The following is a 22,867-nucleotide window of genomic DNA, read 5'->3' as shown; positions in this document are numbered from 1 at the left end:
CCTGGGCAGGGCCGGGGAGTGGGAGGCAGCTCCTAACATCTGGAGAACATCACCTCCCTGTCCTACATGCTGGAGATAATACAGCTTGTTTGTCTGGGGAGATGCACCTTCCTGGCTGTGCCCAGAGCCGACGGGGCTTTTATGCAATCGAGTGTTTTCAGTGATGACCCTGGAGAGCCACCCCACTTTGGGGGTGAAGGAGGGCCCACACTCGAATATTTTCTATATTGTAAGTTATTTAATCCCTCTGGAGTGGATCTCTCCCAGTGATGTGAAATAAACCAGCTTTCTCTCTTGAGAGTTGTCCAAACCCTATGTACAGAGTAGTCTACCTTTTCCCCCACGGATCTGCAGAGCCAGCTCTTTGTGGGTCAAGTTCTTTAAGAGTTTAGGTTTGATCCTAAAAGTAGCAGAGACCAGTAAACCACTCTAATCCAGGGGGCTGTAGCCTGAGCAGAGAACCATGGCAGGGCAAGCTGGGCGGTGGCTGCTCTCAGCCGGGGTGCGGGGGGGGTATGAGGAGGCAGCAGGGAGGCAAAGGAGGGGCAGGCTTGGAAATAACCTGGGGGGTCTGTTCCCAGTGAGGTCCTGGCTGTCTCCCCTGGGAGCGCTTCTGCAGGCAGGGTCTGCTCTTGGGCAGCCGGGTCTGGCTTCCCTGGCAGGGCCAGGAACGGGGCCCGGAGCCCTGCACGAGACGGATCTGACTGGGTGTCCTGCCTGAGAGCGCCTTCATTTCCCGGATTCCAGGAAGGCTCCCAGAGGGGCAGCGGGCAAGCCCTCAATAGGGGTGTGCGCATCCTGCAGCTCTCGCCAGCCCTTCCGGTGGCCAACAAGAGGCCGGGTGGAGTTTCTGGGAGTGTGTCTGGCCATCCGGAGTCAGGGGCTGGCAGGCAGGAAGGCCCCAAGTTCAGCTAGGCCCCGAGCCTCCCAGAACAGCAGGGAACCGAGGTCCAAGAACCAGCCCGCAGTCACAGAGCAGAGCCACCAAGGGAGAGCCCAGGGCTGCTGGGGGAAAACGGGTGGTGGCAGCCAGTGCCTGGCTGCTGGCCCTGGCCCTCTGTGTGGCCTGGACCCTTCGGCCCCTCCCTGTCTGAAAGCTGCTGGCTGACCGGCTCCACGTTCCAGGTGTCCAAGGCCATGCACAGCCACGTGCTGACCGTGAAGTTGTCCCTGAGCCCAAGCATGCCGACCAGTTGGCCTGGGCACTGCCACGGCAGTGGAGGGCAGCACAGACACAGGCTGCAGGCGACAGGCCTGCCCAAGGGGGAGTTGGCAGCGCACCAGAGGCGAAGGCAGATTCTGAGTTTGCAGCCTCAGCTTCCTGGGGCAGGGGGCAGAGCTAGGGAGGCAGAAATGTGGGAGGGCAGGAAGATGGGGAGAGGCCAGAGGGTTCTGGTTGCCTCTGTAGAAAGGCTGGTGGGGTCCCCTTGCAACACTGGCCCTTGGGCACTCAGCATTCAGGCGGGGCCATGGAGGCAGGCTGCACCAAGACGGAGGTGACCAGCTGTAGGGTGGACTTGGGGATGAGCTAATGAGGCACAGAGAGGGAGGGCTGTGCCCAGGGAAGAATGACTGGGGACCCTAAGAATGAAGCCCAGGGAGGAGGGGGCGTCCCATGCGGGAGACATGGAGTCCCATCACCACACCTGCCAGTGGGCCTCTCTAAATCGCCCCTACCCTTCCAGCCAGCTGCCCCCGAAATGCTGGAGCAGCAGAAACAGCGCAGCTGCTGGCTCTTGCTGGGAGGCCCTGCTCCCGACAGAGCTGTCCTCAGGAGAGGGCAGGGGAATGGGGTTGGAGGGAGCATCCAGCCAGCTGTCTCAGAGGTTGGGGGAAGGAGAGAGAGGAGGCTTGCGCTGTGGATACCCACTGGTGACTTCCAGCAAACAGCTCAGGATGAAAAGGGCTGACTGGAGCACTAGCTCCTCCCATGACGAAGGGAGGTGGGCATTGCTGCTGGGCGACCCCTGGCCCGGGCTAGGAGGGTGGGGGAGCCATTCATCCCAACAGCTTCTCATTCGGTGACCCTGAAACAGGGGGCAAAGCAGGCGTCAGCGTTTCCCGAGCATTTCCTCTGGTGGATCTGCAGCACGTGGGCACGCTTCCAGGGCACTCTGCCAGTCCCCAAAACCACACACGGGGTTGCCACAGAGGGGACTGAAAACATACTGAGCAGCTTCAGTGCTGGACCACAATTGTAAGCACATTTTCTAGCGGCGATTTCACGGTCCTCAAAAGGTGAGTCCCTTGGGTCCCTCCCAAGGAGCCCCAGAGGCCGAGAGGCCAGTGCTGGTTAATGGACCTCACTTTATTCCAGCTTTATTAGCTAATGGCAGCTAAAAGTGATTTTACACAAAATAATGTGTCGGAGATCATTGTTCCCGGGCACAGGTCCCAAATTCCAGCCCACGACCGAAGGCCAAACGTGCCCGTTAATGATTAAACCTCTGGAGTCAGTGCTCAGGGACACAGGCAGGGAGCAGCCCGGAGAGCTGCCGGTCAAGGTGCCCGGCCGGGTGGGGGTGGGGCAGCAGCCAGGCCCCGCCCAACAGGAACCAGTTCCTGCCCAAAGCAGGAGGGGAAAGGCTTTTCCACCAAGGGAAAGCTAAATATTGTCTAAATCCGGCACCCAGGACGACACACAGGCTTCCCATTGTCTGCCACACAGCAGGTCTCGGCCACGGCCCAGGTTGCACCCGTGTGAGGTCAGGGAGGGTGGAGCATCCCGGGGAGGGGGCCTGCCCCCACCGTCTTCCTCTGCACCGAGGCACATTCTTGGGAAAGGTCTTATGTTGCCAAAAGGGCTTAACCACATGACACAAGTGAGCGTAGGTGGGCACCAGTGAGGAAAAGCCATCCTTGGCAGCAGAAGCCGGTGCAGGGGCGACGCTTCAGACCACAGGAAGCGAGCTCTCCACGGTGGCCGAGGGCTTTTCCACTCGGCGAGCCTGGGCACCAGTCCCAGCTCTGCTACCTTTTCGCTGTCGTAGGTTATCTCAGTTTCCTCCTCTGTAAAATGGGAACGTGGTACCTGACCTCAAGGTCACCAAGAGGTCTACCGAGTGGCCCCTGTGAAACACGTAGTGCCGGAGCCCTGGTACCTGCAAGCTCTCAATACCCGGCGATCACGTTCATTACGATTAGGATCACCAGATTCTGTTCCTTTGCGAGATCCTTTCCAACTGCACTTTCATGTCAGTGTTCGTTTGCAGGTTGATGTTGGACCGTATTTACATTCAGTGTTTGGGGCTGACCGGGAAGAAATCTGAAAGTGGAAGAGAAGGGAAGGCACCGGTAACCTCGTCTTCCCAAGAGGAGGTCAGAGGTGAGTGTGAAAGTAAACATATTCTTTTTTTTTTTGAGACGGAGTCTCACTCTGTTGCCCAGGCTGGAGTACAATGTCACCATCTCAGCTCACTGCAAGCTCTGCCTCCCGGTTTCAAGCAATTCTCCTGTCTCAGCCTCCCGAGTAGCTGGGATTACAGGCCCCCACCACCACGCCTGGCTAATTTTCGCATTTTTAGTAAAGATGGGATTTTAGCACGTTAGCCAGGCTGGTCTCGAACTCCTGACCTCTGGTGATCCGCCTGCCTCGGCCTCCCAAAGTGCTGGGATTATAGGCGTGAGCGACTGCACTTGGCCTAAAAGCTCATTATTGAAAGCCACTCAGTTACAGAGCGAGACGACCTCAGAAAGCAGAGAAAATGCGCCCGCTTTAAGTTTTTTTTATATGGGGGTCTTATCTGTATAAAGACTAAACTAAGCTGTGCCCACGTGCGCGGGTGGGCTGATAGCATGACAGAATTTATTATTCGGTTGATTTAAAGAAAACTATCCTTGACATTTTAGTATGCAGGTACAAACAGCATAAGTAGAATTATCTTGAAAGCATATATTATTGTGTCTATCAGAACATCTGGACTTTTCATCGTTGTGGGAGTGTGTCCTTGCAGGTATTTTTAAGCTGTTTTCTCATTTGTAAATATCTCAGTACTATGTGACTGGCAAGGAATGTCCTTTACTAGTTTTAAGATGAAGTTTGTTTTAAGATGTTGTGACCCTGGCTCTCCTAGGCTCTTGTTTCCCTAATAGCAGAAAGAATATTATTTAAAGTTACCAAGGGCCGGGAGCAGTGGCTCATGCCTGTAATCCCAGCAATCTGGGAGGCTGAGGCAGTCAGATCACTTAAGCTCAGGAATTCAAGACCAGCCTGAGCAACACGGTGAAACCCCGCTCTGCAAAAATACAAAAAGTAGCTGGCAGCGTGGTGTACGCCTGTAGTCCCAGTCACACAGGAGGACTAGGTGGGAGGATCGATTGGGCCCCGGAGTTCGAGGCTGCAGTGAGCTGTGTCCACACCACTGCACTCCATCCTGGGTGACAGAGCAAGACCCTGTCTTTAAAAATTAAATTAAAACATATGCCGGGCGCAGTGGTTCAAGCCTGTAATCCCAGCACTTTGGGAGGCTGAGGTGGGCGATCACCTGAGGTCGGGAGTTCCAGACCAGCCTGGCCAACGTGGTGAAACCCCATCTTTACTAAAAATACAAAAATTAGCTGGGTGTAGTGGTGCGCGCCTGTAGGCCTAGCTACTTGGGAGGCTGAGGCAGGAGAGTCACTTGAACCCGGGAGGCAGAGGTTGCAGTTAGCTGAGATCACGCCACCGCACTCCAGCATAGGCAACAGAGAGAAACTGTCTCAAAAAAAAAAAAAAAAAAAAAGTCTGGGCATGGTGGCTCACACCTGTAATCCCAGCACTTTGGGAGGCTGAGGTGGGCAGATCACCTGAGGTCAGGAGTTCGAGACCAGCCCAACCAACATAGTGAAACTCCGTCTCTACTAAAAATAGAAAATTAGCTGGGCGTAGTGGTGGGCACCTGTAATCCCAGCTACTCGGGAGGCTGAGGCAAGAAAATCACTTGAACCCAGAAGGCAGAGGTTGCAGTGAGCCGAGACTGTGCCGCTGCACTCCAGCCTGGGCAATAAGAGCGAAATTGCATCTCGAAAATAAATAATAAATAAATAAATAAATAAAGTTACCAAAAAAGCAGTAGAAGAAATAAAAATAATTACATTAACAATAAAGTTTGTAGGGTAATGTGATGTAGCTGAATTCCCATCTTTCACATGGAGGAGTCAGTAGTGTCTAAAATTTGGTAAGTCGGAGAAAAGAGACGCTGTGCATGGCGCAGAGCTGTCCAGGTCATTGTCAGCAGAACTACACACAGCAGGAGTCAAAGGAAGCAGCTCTTGGGGAGACCCTGGGAAGAAAAACTGGGGTGGGGAGGTTGGGGGCACAGTGTTACTTCCCATCATAAACATCTCTGTGTCGGCCGGGTGCGGTGGCTCACGTCTGTAATCCCAGCACTTTGGGAGGCCTAGGCGGGTGGATCACGAGGTCAGGAAATCCTGGCTAACACGGTGAAACCCCATCTCTACTAAAAATACAAAAATTAGCCAGGCATGGTGGTGGGCGCCTATAGTCCCAGCTACTCAGGAGGCTGAGGCAGGAGAATGGCGTGACCCGGGAGGCGGAGCTTGCAGTGAGCCAAGATCGCGCCACTGCACTCCAGCCTGGGTGACAGCGAGACTCCGTCTCAAAAAAAAAAAAAAAAATCTCTGTGTCATTTATGACTATGACTGTTTTGCTTTCATTCAAAGGACACTTTGTTGGCCAGCTACGTTGGCTTGCGCCTATAACTCCAGAATTTTGGGAGGCCAAGGCAGGAGGGTGGCTTGAGCCCAGGAGTTTGAGATCAGCCTGGGCAACACAGTGAGACCCTATCTCTATTACAATAATATAATTTTTAATATGTTTAAGTATAAAATTATTTTTTAAAAAAAGATGCTTTGTTGATTTGTTTGTTCATTTACAGACAGGGTTTCTTTCTGCTACCCAGGCTGGAATGTAGTGGCAAGATCACAGCTCACTGCAGCCTCAAACTCCCTGCCTCAAGCAATCCTCCTACCTCAGCCTCCCGAGTAGCTGAGACCATAGACGTGCATCACCACTTCTGGCTACTTTTTTAAACAACTTTTTGTAGAGACAGAGTCTCACCATGCTGCCTAGGCTAGTGTGGAACTCCTGGCCTCAAGTGATCCTCCCACCCTGACCTCCCAAAGCACTGGGATTTCAGGCCTAAGCCATCATGCCCAGCCAAGACACTTTGTTAATTATAAAAATGTTTGGAGTCATCAACAATTTCAGAACTAAAAATGTAAGTTTGCAAAAAGATCGGGTTCCATTTACCATTTGGCAGAAGCCCCAGAAGAGAAGGTGTCTGAAACCAGCAGGCAGCTTGAGCCTCAAGAAACCATCTGCCTCCCTGGTACTTCTGCCACTGGTTCTTGGTCCACCTGTGGAGCCGTGAGGCTCAGGAGGGGTGTCCTTGCCTACTCCCAAGGGACAGTCCTCTAAATATTCAAAGGCAGCTCTCCTGCTCCCCTGAGCCTTGTCATCTGCAGGGTAAACTTTACCCACCTCTCCAGCTGTTTTATGGACAGCCTATATGATTCTTTCTGGCCAGAAACCCCAGCAAATCAGCATATACAGGGAGACAGGAGTGGTCCTCTGGCTGCTGCTGAGAACACACCATTCACCCACCCATCCACCCACCCATCCACCTATCCACCCACCTCCCCATCCACCCACCCGCCCAACCACCCATCCACCCACCCACCCACCCAACCACCCATCCACCCATCCATCCAACCACCCATCCACCCACCCACCCATCCACCCATCCACCCATCCATCTACCCATCCATCCACCCATCCACCCATCCACCCATCCACCTATTTATCCACCTACCCACCCATCTTTTTTTTTTTGTTTGAGACGTCTCACTCTGTTGCCCAGGCTAGAGTGCAGTGGCATGATCTCGGCTCACTGCAGCCTTCGCCTCCCGGGTTCAAGCAATTCTCCTGCCTCAGCCTCCTAAGTAGCTGGGATTACGGGCACATGCCACCATGCCTGGCTAATTTTTTGTATTTTTTTTTTCTAGTACAGATAGGTTTCACCATATTGGCCAGGCTGGTCTCAAACTCCTGACCTCAGGTGATCTGCCCGCCTTGGCCTCCCAAAGTGCTGGGATTACAGATGTGAGCTACCATACCTGGCCATCCACCCACCCATCTATCTGTCTACCCACCCACCTATTCATCCATCCATCCATCCATCCACCCACCCCACCCCCACCCACCTGTCCATCCATCCATCCATCTATCTACTCACCCACTCATCGACCCATCCATCCATTCACTCACCCACCCATGCACCTGTCCATCAATCCATCCATCCATCCACCCATCCACTTGTCCATCAATCCATCTATGTATCCACATATCCACCAACCAACCCACCCATCTATCCATCCATCCATCCATCCAACCATCCAACCATCCACGCACCCATCCATCCATCCATCCACCCACCCACCTTTCCATTTATCCATCCATCTGCCCATCTATTCATCCACCTGTCCATCCATGCATCCACCCACCTGTCCGTACACACACACATCTGCCCACTCATCCGCCGGCTCATCCATTCATCTACCTACCCACCTACCCACCCTTCCATCTGCCACTTCCTGTTTCCTTCTCAGAGCCAGCACCATGAGCTCTGTCCTTACAGAACATCGAATGCAAGGGCCAGACTGACCTGTAAGCCAGCAATGACCACATGGGATGAGCAGTGTTGGGTCAGCCCCAGATGCAAGAGCATCAAAAAATACTTCCTGTTTGGGGGAGACAGTGAGGAAGACACTTGAATAACCAGTCTCAGGTTAGGGCAGCAGAGAGTGGGAGAAGCAGGGGGTTGTCCACATGGCCAAGTCTGACCAACTCAGGGGTCAGGTCAGAGAAGAACAACGATGTCACCAGTAGTAGTGATTCTACAGCAGTCTCCAGCCTCCTTCTGCAGACACCCTCCCCAACCTCAGGAAAGGCTCTGCAGCAACAAACTCAGCTTTGGAGCCCCTCCTGCTTGTGTCCTGGCCTGCTTCTCCCACTGAGTGTTCAACCTTGGGCAATGAATTCCCTTCCTGAGCCTCCAATCGCTACCTGTATAAATGAGAAACAAGGCTGAGTCTGGTGGCTCATGCCTGTAATCCCAGCGCTTTGAGAGGCTGAGGTGGGTGGATGGCTTGAGCTCAGGAGTTTGAGACCATCCTGGGCAACATGGCAAAAACCTGTCTCTACTAAAAATACAAAAAATTAGCCAGGCATGGTGGTACGTGCCTGTGGTCCCAGCTACTCGGAAGGCTGAGGTGGGAGGATCGCTTGAGCTAGGGAGGCAGAGGTTGCAGTGAACCAAGATCGCGCCACTGCACTCGAAAAAAAAGAAAAGGCTGGGCGTGGTGGCTCATGCCTGTAATCCCAGCACTTTGGGAGGCCGAGGCGGGTGGATCACGAGGTCAGGAAATCGAGACCATCCTGGCTAACACGGTGAAACCCCATCTCTACTAAAAATACAAAACATTAGCCGGGTGCGGTGGCAGGCGCCTGTAGTCCCAGCTACTCGGGAGGCTGAGGCAGAAGAATGGCGTGAACCCAGGAGGCAGAGTTTGCAGTGAGCCGGGATCGCGCCACTGCACTCCAGCCTGGGCGATAGAGCAAGACTCTGTCTCAAAAAAAAAAAAAAAAAAAAAAAAAAAAAGAAAAAAGAAAAGCATTGTGAAATGTTCTTGGGGGTTTGTGTGACAAGGGTTTATTGAGTACCTGGTATATGTCAGACACAGTTCTAGGCCCTGGGATACAGCTGTGAGCCGAAGTCTCGCCCTCGAGGCCCTGTGAATTAGAGTGAGCGCCAAAAGCATGCAGCACAGCAGGGCTGAAAAACCAGCAGCCTCAAGAAGTGTTGCCTTTTTTTTTTTTTTGAGACAGGGCCTCACTGTCACACAGGCTGGAGTGCAGTGGCAAGAACATGGTTCACTGCAGCCTCTACCTCCCCAGGCTCAAGTGAACCTCCCACTTCATCCTCTTGAGTACTTGGGACTACAGGTGTGTGCCAAGCCTGGCTAATTTTTGTATGTTTTGTAGAAATGAGGGCTGGGCATGGTGGCTCACACCTGTAATTCCAGCACTTTGGGAGGCCGAGGTGGGCAGATCACTTGAGGTCAGGAGTCCAAGACCAGCGTGGCAGACGTGGTGAAACCCTGTCTCTACTAAAAATACAAAAATTAGCCAGGCATGATGGTACGTACCTGTAATCCCAGCTACTCCGGAGGCTGACCCAGGAGAATCACTTGACCCTGGGAGGTGGAGGTTGCAGTGAGCCGAGATCATGCCACCACACTCCAGCCTGGGTGACAGAGCGAAACTCCATCTCAAAAAAAAAAAAAAGTCCGGGCGCAGTGGCTCAGGCCTGTAATCCCAGCACTTTGGGAGGCCAAGGCAGGTGGATCATTTGAAGTCAGGAGTTCAACACCAACCTGGCCAACATGGTGAAACCCCGTCTCTACTAACAATACAAAAATTAGTCAGGCGTGGTGGTGCACACCTGTAATCCCAGCTACTCGGGAGGCTGAGTCAGGAGAATCACTTGAGCCTGGGAAGTGGAGGTTGCGGTGAGCCGAGATTGTGCCACTGCACTCCAGTCTTGGCTACAGAGTGAGACCCTGTCTCAAAAAAAAAGAAATGAGGTTTCACCAAGTTGCCCAGGCTGATCTCGAACTCCTGGGCCCAAGCAATCTGACAGCTTCAGCCTCCCAAAGTGCTGGGATTACAGGCATGAGTCACTCCATGTAGCCAAATGTCACTTTCTTAACAACAATGCAGATGCAGGACCCCCCACTGCACACAGGGCCCTGGGCCTGCCTCTGGAGGGGATGCCATGAGCCCCTCCAGCCCCTTCTTCAGCTGTTGAGGAATGTGCGCCCACAGATTCTGTTGGTGGAGACTTTCTGCTGAGCCGGCTGTGGTTCTGGAAACCCCCTTTCCCCCTTAAAAAAACCTTCAAGGCCTCCTAGCTATGGCCTGCGGAGGGGGTAATAAACATGAAGGAGATGTGGCTCTTCCTTCCCACAGGCCTCAACCTGCTCATTCTGTTCAGCCTCCTCCAGCTCAGGGAGCAGGACCGCGGGCCACAGGTCGCATGGCTGCGGGAAGAGTCCATCCTGCAATTGATAGGAAAAGATCCTGCGGCCGAGTTTGGCCAAGCTGTTGATGGCCACTATGGAAGTGACCTCCGGAGACGGCACATCTGACTGGCCCCGGATGCTCACTCACAGCCACGGCACTGCCCAGACACGGGGCCTTCTTCCATAAGACCCGGAGGCCTGGCCTGGAGGGCCTGGATAAGCACGCGGCAGGCTGGGCGTGTGGTGGGCACCCACCCAGGGAGGGGCGGGGGAAGCTGGATGTCGCCGCAGGAAAGGCCCAGGCTCGCCTTCTTGTCAATTTGCCATTGTCACCAAGTCCAGGACACAGCATCAGAGAAGAAGGTGGCTGCGGCAGGCAAGGCCCGGGCTGGGTGGGGGAGGGGCGCCGGGGGAAAAGAGCACCGACCCGGTCTGGGAGAACAGAAGCCCCCCAGCAGGAAGGAAACGTGGCGGGCAGGAGGGGCCCTCTGGACTCAGGAAAGGGAAGAGGCGGTGCCGGCCACGCCCAGGCCACGCCCCCATACCACGCCCCCCGTGGGTGGCGGGGCACCTGGGCGCTCCAGAGCCCAGGGCGCACCCTCAGCCAAAACCCTTGTCAAGCGTCCTGAAGCCGGCTGGCCGCCCGCCTGTCCCTGCCGCGTCCTCCTCCACCGGGAGGGCAGGAAGGCGCGCCCGGCTGCCTCTGCTTGGCTTCTCCAACGTCCCCCCAGCCGGTGCGCGCTCACCCCTACACTGGGCCTTCGCAGGTTCAGGGCGCTGGGGGTGACCACCACCCCGACGTGGCTCTCCCTGCCTGGGACCGTCACAGGCCCCCGGGAAGGGTCTGCCGGGTTGGACCGTATCTGAGCCTGGGCCAGGGTCAGTAGAAGGTGTTCTACTACCTAGACAGTAGAAGGTATTCAGGAATGGAGAGAGCCAAGGCCTGCCCACTTGCTCGCCCCAGGGAGCACCTTCTCCCCAGGAAGAGGCTCTGCCTGAGTGGCTGCTCGGGGCCTCTTATCTGAACCCTCCTGGGAACAGGAAGCCCTGAACCCTGGACCTAGGGATGGCTACAAACATAGGACAAGAACACCAGCCACAAGCCACCACAGTGGCTGCCACCATCGACCTGCACCTTCCTGGGGACTGTCACTTTTTTTTTTTTTTTAACAGGGACTGATCTCTGCTTACTGCAGCCTCCACCTCCCAGGCTCAAGAGACCCTCCTACCTCAGCCTCCCCAGTATCTGGGACTACAGGCGCAAGCCACCATGCCTGGCTTTTTTTTTTTTTCAATTTTTTGTAGAGATGGGGTCTCAATATGTTTTGCCCAGGCTGGTTTTGAACTCCTGAGCTCAAGCGATCCTCCTTCCTGGGGCTCCCAAAGTGCTGGGATTATAGGCTTGAGCCACAGCGCCCAGCGCATTAGGGAAGCAGGAGCCCAGGACAGCCAGAGCAATGCCATTGTAAGTTCATCTCCATCCTGAGACTAACAAGGCACATTCCTTGCCAGCCACAACTTGTGGTCACAAGAAGCTTACAATTAAGGGAACAGCCTAAAGATACCTGCAAGGATGCACTCCTACAAGAGAAAGTCCAGATGTCCCCATACTCGTAACAACATATGCTTTCGAAATAATTACAGCTATCATTAGATGTACTTACACTAAAGTGTCAAGGATAGTTTTCTTTTTGTTTTGGTTTTTGGGTTTTTGGGGGGTTTTTAGGTTTTGTTTAGACAGGGTTTCGCTCTGTTGCCCAGGCTAGAGCACAGTGGCACTATCATAGCTCACTGCAGCCTCAGCCTCCTGGCCTCAAGCGATCCTCCCACCTTGGCCTCCCAAAGTATTGGGATTAGCCACCTCGCCTGGCTTGTTACTCCGTTATACTCCGCTAACAAGTGATTCCACCTGACCAGCCAGCATCCAGGGGGATTGTGCCCAGGGAGGATGGTACCAGGGCCCCTCACAGTGGTCAGAGCCAGGAATGGGCCTGGGATGGCCATGCTCCAAGGTCCAGCTGACAGCCCCAGACAGCAGGGAGGGCAGGCCTCAGGGCAGAAGGTGACCAGTGGCTGGGACCCAGACCAAGGCTGCAGCCCTGAGGTGCCACACAGGGTCAGGCAGACAGGGACCAACAAGAATGGTACAAAAGGGAAGGGACCCGGCCAGTTGGATGGGCTGTAAGAGGGTTCTGCGCAGAGCCACCTAGCAGGAACCAACCTGGTCAAGCCCTCTGGCCTCAAATCTGGCTTGGCTCCTGCGACTGAGCTGGAGCCCAGCAGGGGAATGGGGAGAGTAGGACCAGTCATGTGGCTCTAGGGATCCTGTGGCAGGGAGCCAGGCCAGGCCTGAGACTCCCTCTGCAGGGGTCAGAGGCCCAGTTCTGGGCCCCCACGTACCAGCCTGTGGCCAACCTCTAGGCTTTTCTGACCAAGGCCAGACTTTTCCTGTAAGGTCCCCTGAGACCAGGCCTGGAGGGAGTTGGACGGTGGAGCCTCAAGAGCCCACATCTTGACAGGGCCCCGCACTACCACCTCCTGTCTATGGAACACCCCATCCCTCCTCTCTTCAGGGCAGTTCAGACATTGAAGGAAGAGACAAAGAGCCTTGAATGTCACGAAAAGGAGGTTGGACTTTATCCTGCAGGCAATCAGAAGCCAGAAAGGTTTCAGGATGGATGGGCTGATCAGATTTGAGTTTCAACAGGCCACTGTGTGAGTATGCGGAAAGGGTGTGGCTGGGGACAGGAACCCCAGTGAATGGCACTGCTGTCCATGAAGAGGGGCAGCAGGGGCCTGGGCTGTGCAGGGACCAGGGGGTACAGCAAAGGGGCTGGTATCCAGAGAAAGCCCAGGGATGCCCCGGGACAGTCGTAGCACCGTGAGTCTTTGGGCCCTGTCCCTTTCCTTGAAGACCCAGCAGAGCGAGTGCTGCTTGATTTCCCAGAAGCCCTTTGTGGAGAGTAACTCGCCCCATCCCCCACCCCTGCCACACAGGCTGCTACAGACACCCAGACACCGGAGCTCCAGCCGGGGCAGGCTGCAGGATGCCCAGCCGTGTCCCCAGGATGCCCTGCACGCTGTCCTGAAAACTAACCTGTAACTGCAGCTCTTGGAGCCTTCCGGAACCCAGATCCCCACCTGAGATCAAACCAAAGACCTGGTTTAAGGTCCCTGGTTTGGCTTGTTGCCACCCAACGCTGCCCCAGTTTGCCGTCTTTTTTTTTTTTTTGAGACGGAGTCTCGCTCTGTCGCCCAGGCTGGAGTGCAGTGGCGCGATCTCGGCTCACTGCAAGCTCCGCCTCCCGGGTTCACGCCATTCTCCTGCCTCAGCCTCCCGAGTAGCTGGGACTACAGGCGCCCGCCATCACACGTGGCTAATTTTTTTGTATTTTTAGTAGAGACGGGCTTTCGCCGTGTTAGCCAGGATGGTCTCGATCTCCTGACCGCGTGATCCACCCGCCTCGGCCCCCCAGAGTGCTGGGATTACAGGCGTGAGCCACCGCGCCCGGCCGACTTCGCTATGTCTTTAGGCCAGCCCTGACCGCCCTGAGCCCCAGCTTGCCCAGGCCCTTGCAGAGTGATGGGGTCACAGAGAGGTACAGACACACAGTAGAACAACAGACATGTACATGGGGGGTGGCACATGTGACCATGGGAACAGAGAAGAGGGAGAGGGAGGAGGTCAGGGTGAGGACATCAGAGTTGGTGCCTGAAGGTGGGATGAGGCAGAGCCAGGGGTTGCCGTCACCGCCCTCTCCCCCAGGCACCAGCACCCAGCACTGGCTCTTGCTCATGGGCAGGAATGAGGAACGGATGTCATTAGTAGCAGCTCCCAGTAACTACCAATAGGTGTGAAGCCCGGTACAGTTAAAGAGGCCTGACATGCTGCAACCTGCACTTTGGCAGCACGTACCTGGGCTTTGAAGTAAGTTTCATTATCTCCAATGCACAAATGAAGAGACTGAGGGCCAGGGTGAGTAAGTCACTGTCAGTGAGTAGCCATCCTTGTCGGGTGGGAGTGTAGGCCCTGGGGGCCCAGAGTGGGCAGGGTGCTGAAGTCCCCTCCCTGTATTCCTGGGCAGCCAGGTGTGCCCTGCCAGAGCCTTGGAGCATCTCCAGTCTTGGGGCAGGAGATCCCTTAAAGTGAAGCCGAGGGTGAGCCCCCAGGTGAGGGGGTCCGAGGGCTCAGCCCATCTCCTTCCCTCCGGCCTGCCCTGAGTTTCTGAGCTGGGTGATGGGGCCCAGGAGAGCAGGAATTGTGGGCGAGGCTGGCCTCCCTGAGACTAGGTAGATCAGGAACAGTTTCTTGGAGGAGGAAGTGCCTGAGCTGAACCTTGAAGGCCGTGTCCAATTTTCACTAGCGAGGATGGAAGCAGGGACGTGTTGGGATCAACCAACAGCATGAGCAAGGATGGGCCCGGAGGGCAGGCAAGGGAATGATGAGCGGGAGGTGAAGCCAGAGGAGTTGGAATGGAGGGCCGAGGGGAGCAGGAGCCAGGGCAGGCCTCCTTCAGCACTTGGGGCCCTGCAGACACCAGCAGGTCACTTCTGTGTCAAGCTCTGAAGCAGCACCAGGGAGGCCTGGGGAACCACCTCCCAGACACACACCCTACACTGTTGGCCTGCAAGATCAGCCCTTCTAGGGCAGCACCACTGCCCAGTTACAGTCGGGTCTGGTCAGTGCCTAAGACCAGGAGGGCACAGGGGCATGGAAGTCAGGGGATTGGAGACCAGGGGCCCTGCTCCAAGAGAGGCCTCAGAGGAGCCAGCTCCACTGAGCTCTCCCCATGGCCAGCCGGTGGCACGCGCCCCTCTGAGGAGGTAAGAAATCCGAGCCTGACAACGAGCCAGATGATTGTTTCTCCTGGGATAGCAGGCCCCGAGCCAGTGCCTGCAGGCCCAGGCGTGACTGCCAGCCCCCAGCCCCGCCTCCCTCCCGGCACTGCCTGGCACTCCACTCAGCTGGGCCCTGTGCAAGGCTGCTTTGATGGTGGAAATGCACAGTCACCACTGCCCATAGGTTTGGGAGCACCTGGAGCTGAGTCTGAGGTTGCAGGGGCTCCAGGCCCCATCCCGCCTGTGTGACCTAATGGCTGGTTAATTCGCCTCTCTCGGCCTTGGTTTCCTCATCTGTCAAGTAGGAATGACAGCAGTGCTTGCTTCCTGGAGACTGTTTGAGGATGAAAGGACAATGTGTGTGAAAGGCCCCGGGGAGCTCCAGCCAGGGCGCAGGGGAGGAAGGATTAGGCAGCACCCCACAAAGCAAAGTCAGAGCTACCTAACAAGTCCACACACCTTCGAGGGGGTCAGGAGGTGGCGGAAGGTGCCTGGGAAGGCTTCCAGCAGGAAGGTTCTGGAACATCTGCCCATGTTTGAACCCCTCTCAGCGTCCTTCCAGCAATGGAGCGCCTCGCTGCTCCTCCAGGCATAGCTGCAGGTCCTCCACTCTTCTACAGAACATCCTGTGAGTCCCCTGCCCCCCCACCCCCCCAGCCCTGCAGTGTGTCCCTGGGTTTTCAAGACCAAAATGGCCAACCGGCTCGGTGGCTCACGCCTGTAATCCCAGCATTTTGGGAGGCCAAGGCAGGCAGATCACCAGGTCAGGAGTTCGAGACCAGACCAACCTGGCCAATATGGTGTAACCCCATCTCTACTAAAAATACAAAAATTGGCTGGACATGGTGGTGGGCGTCTGCAGTCCCAGCTACTCAGGAGGCTGAGGCAGAAGAATTGCTTGAACCCGGGAGACAGAGGTTGCAATGAGCTGAGATCCTGGGTGACAGAGAGACACTCTGTCTCAAAAAAAAAAAAAAAAGGCCAGCCGCAGTGGCTCACACCTGTAATCCCAGCACTTTGGGAGGCTGAGGCAGGCGGATCGTGAGGCCAATAGATCGAGACCATCCTGGCCAACATGATGAAACCCCGTCTGCACTAAAAATACAAAAATTAGCTGGGCATGGTGGCGTGCGCCTGTAGTCCCAGCTACTTGGGAGGCTGGGGCAGAAGAATTGCTTGAACCCAGGAGGTGGAGGTTGCAGTGAGCCGAGATCGCACCACTGCACTATATAGCCTGGCGACAAAGCGAGACTCCGTCTCAAAAAAAAAAAAAAAAAAAAAAAAAGAGTGGAATGACTGGAGCCACTGGTCATGGCCCGTCATCGTCAGGGGAGAAGGTGACCTGCACCATCCCTGTCCAGGGGCTTGTGCAATTTCCAGGATGCCCAGGGAGTCCCCCCGCAGCCCCCGCCCAGCTGGGAGTCCTTTCTGTGGTGCCCTGCTAAAGCTGTTCCTTCTTGGGACGAGGGAGGCAGGCATTGGCTCTGGAAGGCTCCAGTAAAGAGGAGCAAGTTCCAAGTTCCCGTCAGCAGCCCCAAAACTACTTGGCAGGTAGCTGAGTCCCACCCCAAGGGCCTCATTCCATAAATGGTGTGACATGGGCTCCCAGCACACGGGTCTTCGGTCAGTGGCCCAAGGTCAAGTCTCTGCCTTACCACCTAGTCCCTGTGTGGCCTTGAGCTAGTTGCTCAACTCCTCTGACTCTGTTCACTCACCTGAAAAGTTGTGGGTGACAATTGCGTGACCTTCCTCCAGGGAGAGCTGTGAATGCTATCAAGTTAAGTACCAGGCCAGGCGCGGTGGCTCACGCCTGTAATCCCAGCACTTTGGGAGGCCGAGGCAGGCGGATCACGAGGTCAGGAGATCGAGACCATCCTGGCTAACACAGTGAAACCCCGTCTCTACTGAAAATACAAAAAATTAGCCGGGCGTGGTGGTGGGCACCTGTAATCCCAGCTACTTGGGAGGCTGAGGCAGGAGAATGGTGTGAACCCGGGAGGCGGAGCTTGCAGTGAGCAGAGATCGCGCCACTGCACTCCAGCCTGGGCGAAAGAGCGAGACTCTGTCTCAAAAAAAAAAAAAAAAAAAAAAGTTAAGTACCAAAAAGAAGTCACAGGTGAACAACTTTTTTTTTTTTTGGAGATGGAGTCTCCCTCTGTCACCCAGGTTGGAGTGCAGTGGCACGATCTCAGCTCAGGTTTTAAGCCCTGCATGCATTAGGTATTTGTCCTAATGCTCTCCCTCCCCTTGCCTCCCCAACCCCTGACAGGCCCCACTGTGTGATGTTCCCCTCCCTGGGTCCATGTGTTCTCATTGTTCAACTCCCACTTATAAGTGAGAACATGCGGTGTTTGGTTTTCTGTTCCTGTGTTAGTTTGCTGAGAATGATGGCTTCCAGCTTCATCCATGTCCCTGCAAAGGACATGAACTCATTATTTTTTACGCTGCATTACAAAAAGATTTTTTGTAGAGATGAGGTTTCACCATATTACCCAGGCTGGGTCTTTGTATGAACATATGTTATCATTTCTCAAGGGTAAATGACTAGAAGTGGGACTATATATACACACACATTAAATTTTATAAGAAGGCCAGGCACGGTGGCTCACGCCTGTAATCCTAGCACTTTGGGAGGCCGAGGTGGGAGGATCACCTGAGGTCAGGAGTTCAAGACCAGCCTGGCCAACATGGTAAAAAACTGTCTCTACTAAAAATACAAAAATTTGCTGGGCATGGTGGCATGCACCTGTAATCCCAGCACTTTCTGAGGCTGAGGCAGGAGAATCGCCTGAACCCAGGAGACAGAGGTTGCAGTGAGTCAAGATGGTGCCACTGCCCTCCAGCCTGGGCAACAGAGCAAGAATCCATCTCAAAAAAAAAAAAGGGGGCCGGGCACGGTGGCTCACGCCTGTAATCCCAGCATTTTGGGAGGCCGAGGCGGGCGGATCACAAGGTCAAGAGATCGAGACCATCCTGGCCAACATGGTGAAACCCCATCTCTACTAAAAAAAAAATACAAAAAATTAGCTGGGCGTGGTGGTGTGTGCCTGTAGTCCCAGCTACTCGGGAGGCTGAGGCAGAAGAATGGCTTGAACCCGGGAGGTGGAGCTTGCAGTGAGCTGAGATCGCGCCACTGCACTCCAGCCTGGGCGACAGAGTGAGACTGTCTCAAAAAAAAAAAAAAAAAAAAAAAAATCTGTACACAGATGGCCATGGCAGCTTTATGCATAATTGCCAAACTTGGAAGCAACCAAGATGTCCTTCAGTAGGTCAATGGATAAATAAACTGTGGTACATCCAGAGAATGAAATATTTTTCAGCACTAAAAATAAATGAGCTATCAAACATAAAAAGACATGGCTGGGCACAGTGGCTCATGGCCTGTAATCCCAGCAATTTGGGAAGCTGAGGCAGAAGGATCACTTGAACCCAGGAGTTTGAGACCAGCCTGGGAAACATAGTAAGACCCCCATCTCTACAAAAAATCAACAAAATTAGCCAGTGTGACGGTGTGCACCTTGTGGTCCCAGTTGCTTGGGAGGCTGAGATGGGAGGATGGCCTGAGCACAGGAGGTTGAGGCTGTAGTAAGCCAAGATTGCACTATTGCCCTCCAGCCCGGGTGACAGAGTGAGACCCTATTTGTGTGTTTTGTTTGTTTGTTTGTTTTTTTGAGACGGACTCTCGCTCTGTCACCCAGGCTGGAGTGCAGTGGTGTGATCTCGGCTCACTGCAAGCTCTGCCTCCCGGGTTCACGCCATTCTCCTGCCTCAGCCTCCCGAGTAGCTGGGACTACAGGCGCCCACCACCATGCCTGGCTAATTTTTTTTTTTTTTTTTTTTTTGTATTTTTAGTAGAGACGGGGTTTCACCGTGTTAGCCAGGATGGTCTTGATCTCCTGACCTCGTGATCCGACTGCTTCGGCCTCCCAAAGTGCTGGGATTACAGGCGTGAGCCACTGCACCTGGCCGAGTGAGGCCCTATTTGAAAAAAAAAAACAAAAACCCAAAATACGAAAAAATGAAAAGCCTACATACTGTATGATTTCAGTACAGGACATTCTGTAACAAGCAAAACTACGGAGACAGCATAAGGTCAGTGGTTGCCCGAAGTTGGGGAGGGAGGGATGAATAGTGGAGCACGGGGGATTTTTAGGACAGAGAAACTACTCTGTATGACACTAGAGTGGCAGATACATATGGTTATGCATTTGTCCAAACCCATAGAATGTATGAGAGCAAGCGTGAGCCCGAATGTAAACTATGGACTCTGGAGATCATGATGTGTCAATGAAGGTTCATTGATTGTAACAAACGTGCCACTGTCAGGGGAGATGTTGGCAGTGGAGGAGGCTGCATGGGGTGGAGGGACAGCGGTCTATGGGAGAGCTCTGTGTCTTCCACTCCATTTGGCTGTGAACCTAAAACTTCTCTAAAAAATAAAGCCTATCATAATATTTTTAAAAAATCAAGCCAGGCAGAACAGGGTCTGGAGGCAGGGAATCTAAGGGCATTTCACACCAACTTCCTAGAACTAAATTGAAAAGAAAACCCTAACTTTCCAAGCCTAAATAACAAAAGGAGCCGAAGCTACTTCTTTTGCAAACCTCCTTTTTTTTTTTTTTTTTTTGGAGACAGGGTCTCTGTGGTCGAGGCTGGAGTGCCAGTGGCATGATCTTGGCTCACTGCAACCTCTGCCTCCCAAGTCCAAGCGATTCTCCTGCCTCAGCCTCCCGAGTAGCTGGGACCACAGGCAGGTGCCACCACCACGCCCAACTAATTTTTTTGTATTTTTAGTAGAGATGGGGTTTCGCCATGTTGGCCAGGCTGGTCCTGAACTTCTGACCTCAAGTGATCCGCTCTCCTCAGTTTCCTAAAGTGCTGGGATTACAAGCGTGAGCCACTGCACCTGGCTTGAACCCACACCTTTTCTTCATGGCAGATGGGAAATTGGCTGTTGGCAACCAATCAGACTGAATGGTGACCGAGTCTTCATTTGCACAGGAGTATAACTTTGTAACTTTAGCCTCTGATTGGTCACTTTCTATAGCCAATCAGATGTTTGCACAGGAGTGTGACCTTTGTAACTTCACTTCAGCCTCTGATTGACTGCTTTCCGCAACCAATTGTGGGCCACTGCTTCATTTACATAAGGTGACTACCAAGTGGCCAATAGGAAACCTGTAGTGGGTATTTGAACCCGAGAAGATTCTGTATCCGGGCTCTTGAGCTGCTCCAGCTGCTTCCACACTGTGGAGTGTACTTTCATTTTCAGTAAATCCCTGCTTTCGTTCTTTCATTGCTTCATTCTTTCTTTGCGTTGCTGGGCATTTTGTCCAATTCTTTGTTCAAAACGCCAAGAACCTGGAAAACTTGCAGTCAAGACCCTCTACTGGTGACACAAGTACATGGATTATTATTATGATGATGATTTTTTTGGAGACAGAGTCTCGTTCTGTTTTCCAGGCTGGAGTGCAGTGGCATGATCTAGGCTTACTTCAATCTCCACCTCCCAGGTTAAATCAATTCTTGTGCCCCAGCCTCCCGAGTAGCTGGGATTACAGGTGCGTGCCACCACACCTCGCTAATTTGTCTATTTTTAGTAGGGATGGGGTTTCACCATGTTGGCCAGCCTGATCTCAAACTCCTGGCCTCAAGACATCCGCCGGTATGTGCATGTATGTGGGGGTGTGTGTGTGTGTGTAAATTCCCCCCTGGCCCCAGCTGGACCCGTCTTTCAAGACCAACATCCTTCAGCAAAGCCCCTCCTGGCCTTGCCTGTGCTCTTCAGACCTCGCTCAGCTGAGCAGACCCCTGGCTCCGGGCAGGCTAAGGGGCCAGCAACTTCCTTTCAGCGTTTCTGGGAGGTATGCACCATGTCCTCCTACTTCACTTGAGAGGTGTTTCCTGAACTTTTCAGAACCATCTCAGGCACCCCAGCACCAATTGCAGCAGTCAGCCACCTTATCTCCAAATGCCACTGCCAGCTGCCTTCTCTGGTGTTGGCAAAAAGGACAGATCACCCTGTTCCCCTCTGTACTCATGTCTATGTGGGGAAGGCTGGTGTGGGTGAGCCAGTGAGAAGATGCTGCTGTTGAGCTGGTGGGAGTGTTTCAAGGTCAGGTCGGCAGCCTTCTCACTCAAGGCAGATCAGCAGATGAGCTGGCTGGCCATGAGATGGGGCCCTCCCTAGCAGGCAGCAGCGTCTCACCCAGTGCAGGGACACAGCAAATGCCGATGTGGTGTTCACCATGTGATGCACACATTGTTTCATGTAACTGACAAAAATCCTTGAGGGAGGCTGGGCGCTGTGGCTCACTACTGTAATCCCAGCACTTTGCGAGGCCAAGGCGGGTGGATCACCTAAGGTCAGGTGTTTGAGACCAGCCTGGCCAACATGGTGAAACTTCGTCTCTACTAAAAATACAAAAATTAGCTGGGCATGGTGGTGCACGCTTGTAGTCCCAGCTACTTGGGAGGCTGAGGCAGGAGAATTGCTTGAACCCGAGAGGTGGAGGTTGCAGTGAGCCGAGATCTTACCACTGCACTCCAGCCTAGGTGACAGAGCAAGACTCTGTCTCAAAAATAATAATAATAATAATAATAATAATAATAATAATAATAATAATCCTTGAGGGAGGCACTGTTATTATCCCCATCTACAGGTGAGCAAACTAAGGCACAGAAACGTTATGTAACTGGCCCAAAATTACACAGCCGAAACTAAGTGGCAGATGTTCTCTAGCTCCACAGTCCAAGCTCATAGGTACTGTGTGAAAGAAAGCACATTTTGGGCCGGGCGCGGTGGCTCACGCCTGTAATCCCAGCACTTTGGGAGGCCGAGGCGGGCAGATCACGAGGTCAGGAGATCGAGACCATCCTGGCTAACATGGTGAAACCCCGTCTCTACTAAAAATACAAAAAATTAGCCGGGCGAGGTGGCGGGCGCCTGTAGTCCCAGCTGCTCAGGAGGCTGAGGCAGGAGAATGGCGTGAACCCAGGGGGCGGAGCCTGCAGTGAGCTGAGATCCAGCCAAGATTGCGCCACTGCACTCCAGCCTGGGCAACAGCGAGACTCCATCTCCAAAAAAAAAAAAAAAAGAAAGAAAGAAAAGAAAGCACATTTTGCTAACTTCTTGCTACAAAATATCCAAGTAGTTACTGCCAAATGGATCCTGAGCTCATAAAACAATGCAAAGTGTATACATTGTAGAGAGTGCAGGATTTAGAGTCAGAAGAGCTGGATTTGAATCTTGGCTCTCCCACTCAGAGGCTGAAAGACCCGGAAAGCCTCCATATCCTCATCTGTAATGAAGGAGAAATGGTATTTCCTTCACAGGATTATAGCGACCGGCAAGTGAGATAAAATCCTTTGAAACACTTGGGAATGATGCAATGACAATTTTGAAAATCAAAATTAAATTTCAACATAAAAATAAATTAAGGAGCACTCAGAACTGGCCTTGATTCGGCCCTCTAGAAAGACCACAGCAGACGGACTAGGAGAGAAACCCCTGGCCAGGAAAGGCAGGGGCATCTGAGAAGCTTCAAGAAGGGGTTTTCGTACATGACAGATGACGGAATCAGCGCTCCTGCTTGGGACAGTGAAGGGACATTGTCCTCAGGAGTGGGACCCAAGGTTGACCTGGAAGCAGCTGGCCGGCGGGAAGGACAGGGCAGGGCTGGAAGCCAGCGTGCCAGCCGAGTCGCTTCTCCCCAGGCTCAACTTCCTCCCACCAGGAGCCCCTGTGACAGGGAGCACAGATGGTCGGAGAGTTCCAGGTGGGCCAGGGAACAGAGAATTCGGACCGAGAGTTGGACGGAGGCAGGCCGTTGGGTGCCCACCCAGGGGACTGCAGGGAGGTGGGTGCCGAGGGAGCACAGAGGCTAGACACTGGCAAGGGAGCGAGCAGGGATGGTCTGAGCTGGGAATGGTTTGCCAGCAGCTT

The 22,867-nt window shown here is 53.8% G+C and overlaps 1 long non-coding RNA gene across 1 annotated transcript, besides 7 other annotated features; it reads right to left on the bottom strand.

Annotated features, from left to right (window-relative positions):
* Positions 517 to 1,198: an enhancer, noted in NCBI's record as "H3K27ac-H3K4me1 hESC enhancer chr14:104347808-104348489 (GRCh37/hg19 assembly coordinates)". NCBI's record gives its function as "activates a minimal SCP1, AML or CMV promoter by ChIP-STARR-seq in primed H9 embryonic stem cells {active_cell/tissue: H9 hESC(primed)}" and the evidence as "EXISTENCE:reporter gene assay evidence [ECO:0000049][PMID:30033119]".
* Positions 1,882 to 2,564: an enhancer, noted in NCBI's record as "H3K27ac-H3K4me1 hESC enhancer chr14:104346442-104347124 (GRCh37/hg19 assembly coordinates)". NCBI's record gives its function as "activates a minimal SCP1, AML or CMV promoter by ChIP-STARR-seq in primed H9 embryonic stem cells {active_cell/tissue: H9 hESC(primed)}" and the evidence as "EXISTENCE:reporter gene assay evidence [ECO:0000049][PMID:30033119]".
* Positions 1,882 to 2,717: a biological region, named in NCBI's record as "Sharpr-MPRA regulatory region 8463".
* Positions 2,291 to 10,582, bottom strand: LOC105370689 (uncharacterized). The gene is made up of 3 exons (NR_188198.1): positions 9,208 to 10,582; positions 5,074 to 5,274; positions 2,291 to 3,265 (listed from the first exon to the last, which is right to left on the bottom strand). It is a non-coding gene; the product is annotated as an uncharacterized LOC105370689 (long non-coding RNA).
* Positions 2,423 to 2,717: an enhancer, noted in NCBI's record as "tiled region #8463; HepG2 Activating DNase unmatched - State 1:Tss". NCBI's record gives its function as "activates a minimal TATA promoter and a strong SV40 promoter by Sharpr-MPRA in HepG2 cells {active_cell/tissue: HepG2}" and the evidence as "EXISTENCE:reporter gene assay evidence [ECO:0000049][PMID:27701403]".
* Positions 10,018 to 10,197: an enhancer, noted in NCBI's record as "active region_9113". NCBI's record gives its function as "activates an Ori minimal core promoter by ATAC-STARR-seq in GM12878 lymphoblastoid cells {active_cell/tissue: GM12878}" and the evidence as "EXISTENCE:reporter gene assay evidence [ECO:0000049][PMID:35858748]".
* Positions 10,438 to 10,497: a silencer, noted in NCBI's record as "silent region_6181". NCBI's record gives its function as "represses an Ori minimal core promoter by ATAC-STARR-seq in GM12878 lymphoblastoid cells {active_cell/tissue: GM12878}" and the evidence as "EXISTENCE:reporter gene assay evidence [ECO:0000049][PMID:35858748]".
* Positions 10,508 to 10,877: a silencer, noted in NCBI's record as "silent region_6180". NCBI's record gives its function as "represses an Ori minimal core promoter by ATAC-STARR-seq in GM12878 lymphoblastoid cells {active_cell/tissue: GM12878}" and the evidence as "EXISTENCE:reporter gene assay evidence [ECO:0000049][PMID:35858748]".

This window comes from Homo sapiens, chromosome 14 (genome assembly GCF_000001405.40).
Source record: "Homo sapiens chromosome 14, GRCh38.p14 Primary Assembly".
In the NCBI taxonomy this organism is placed as follows: Eukaryota; Metazoa; Chordata; class Mammalia; order Primates; family Hominidae; genus Homo; species Homo sapiens.
Note: the sequence above shows the minus strand (reverse complement) of the source record. Positions and strands in the feature narration are given on the sequence as shown.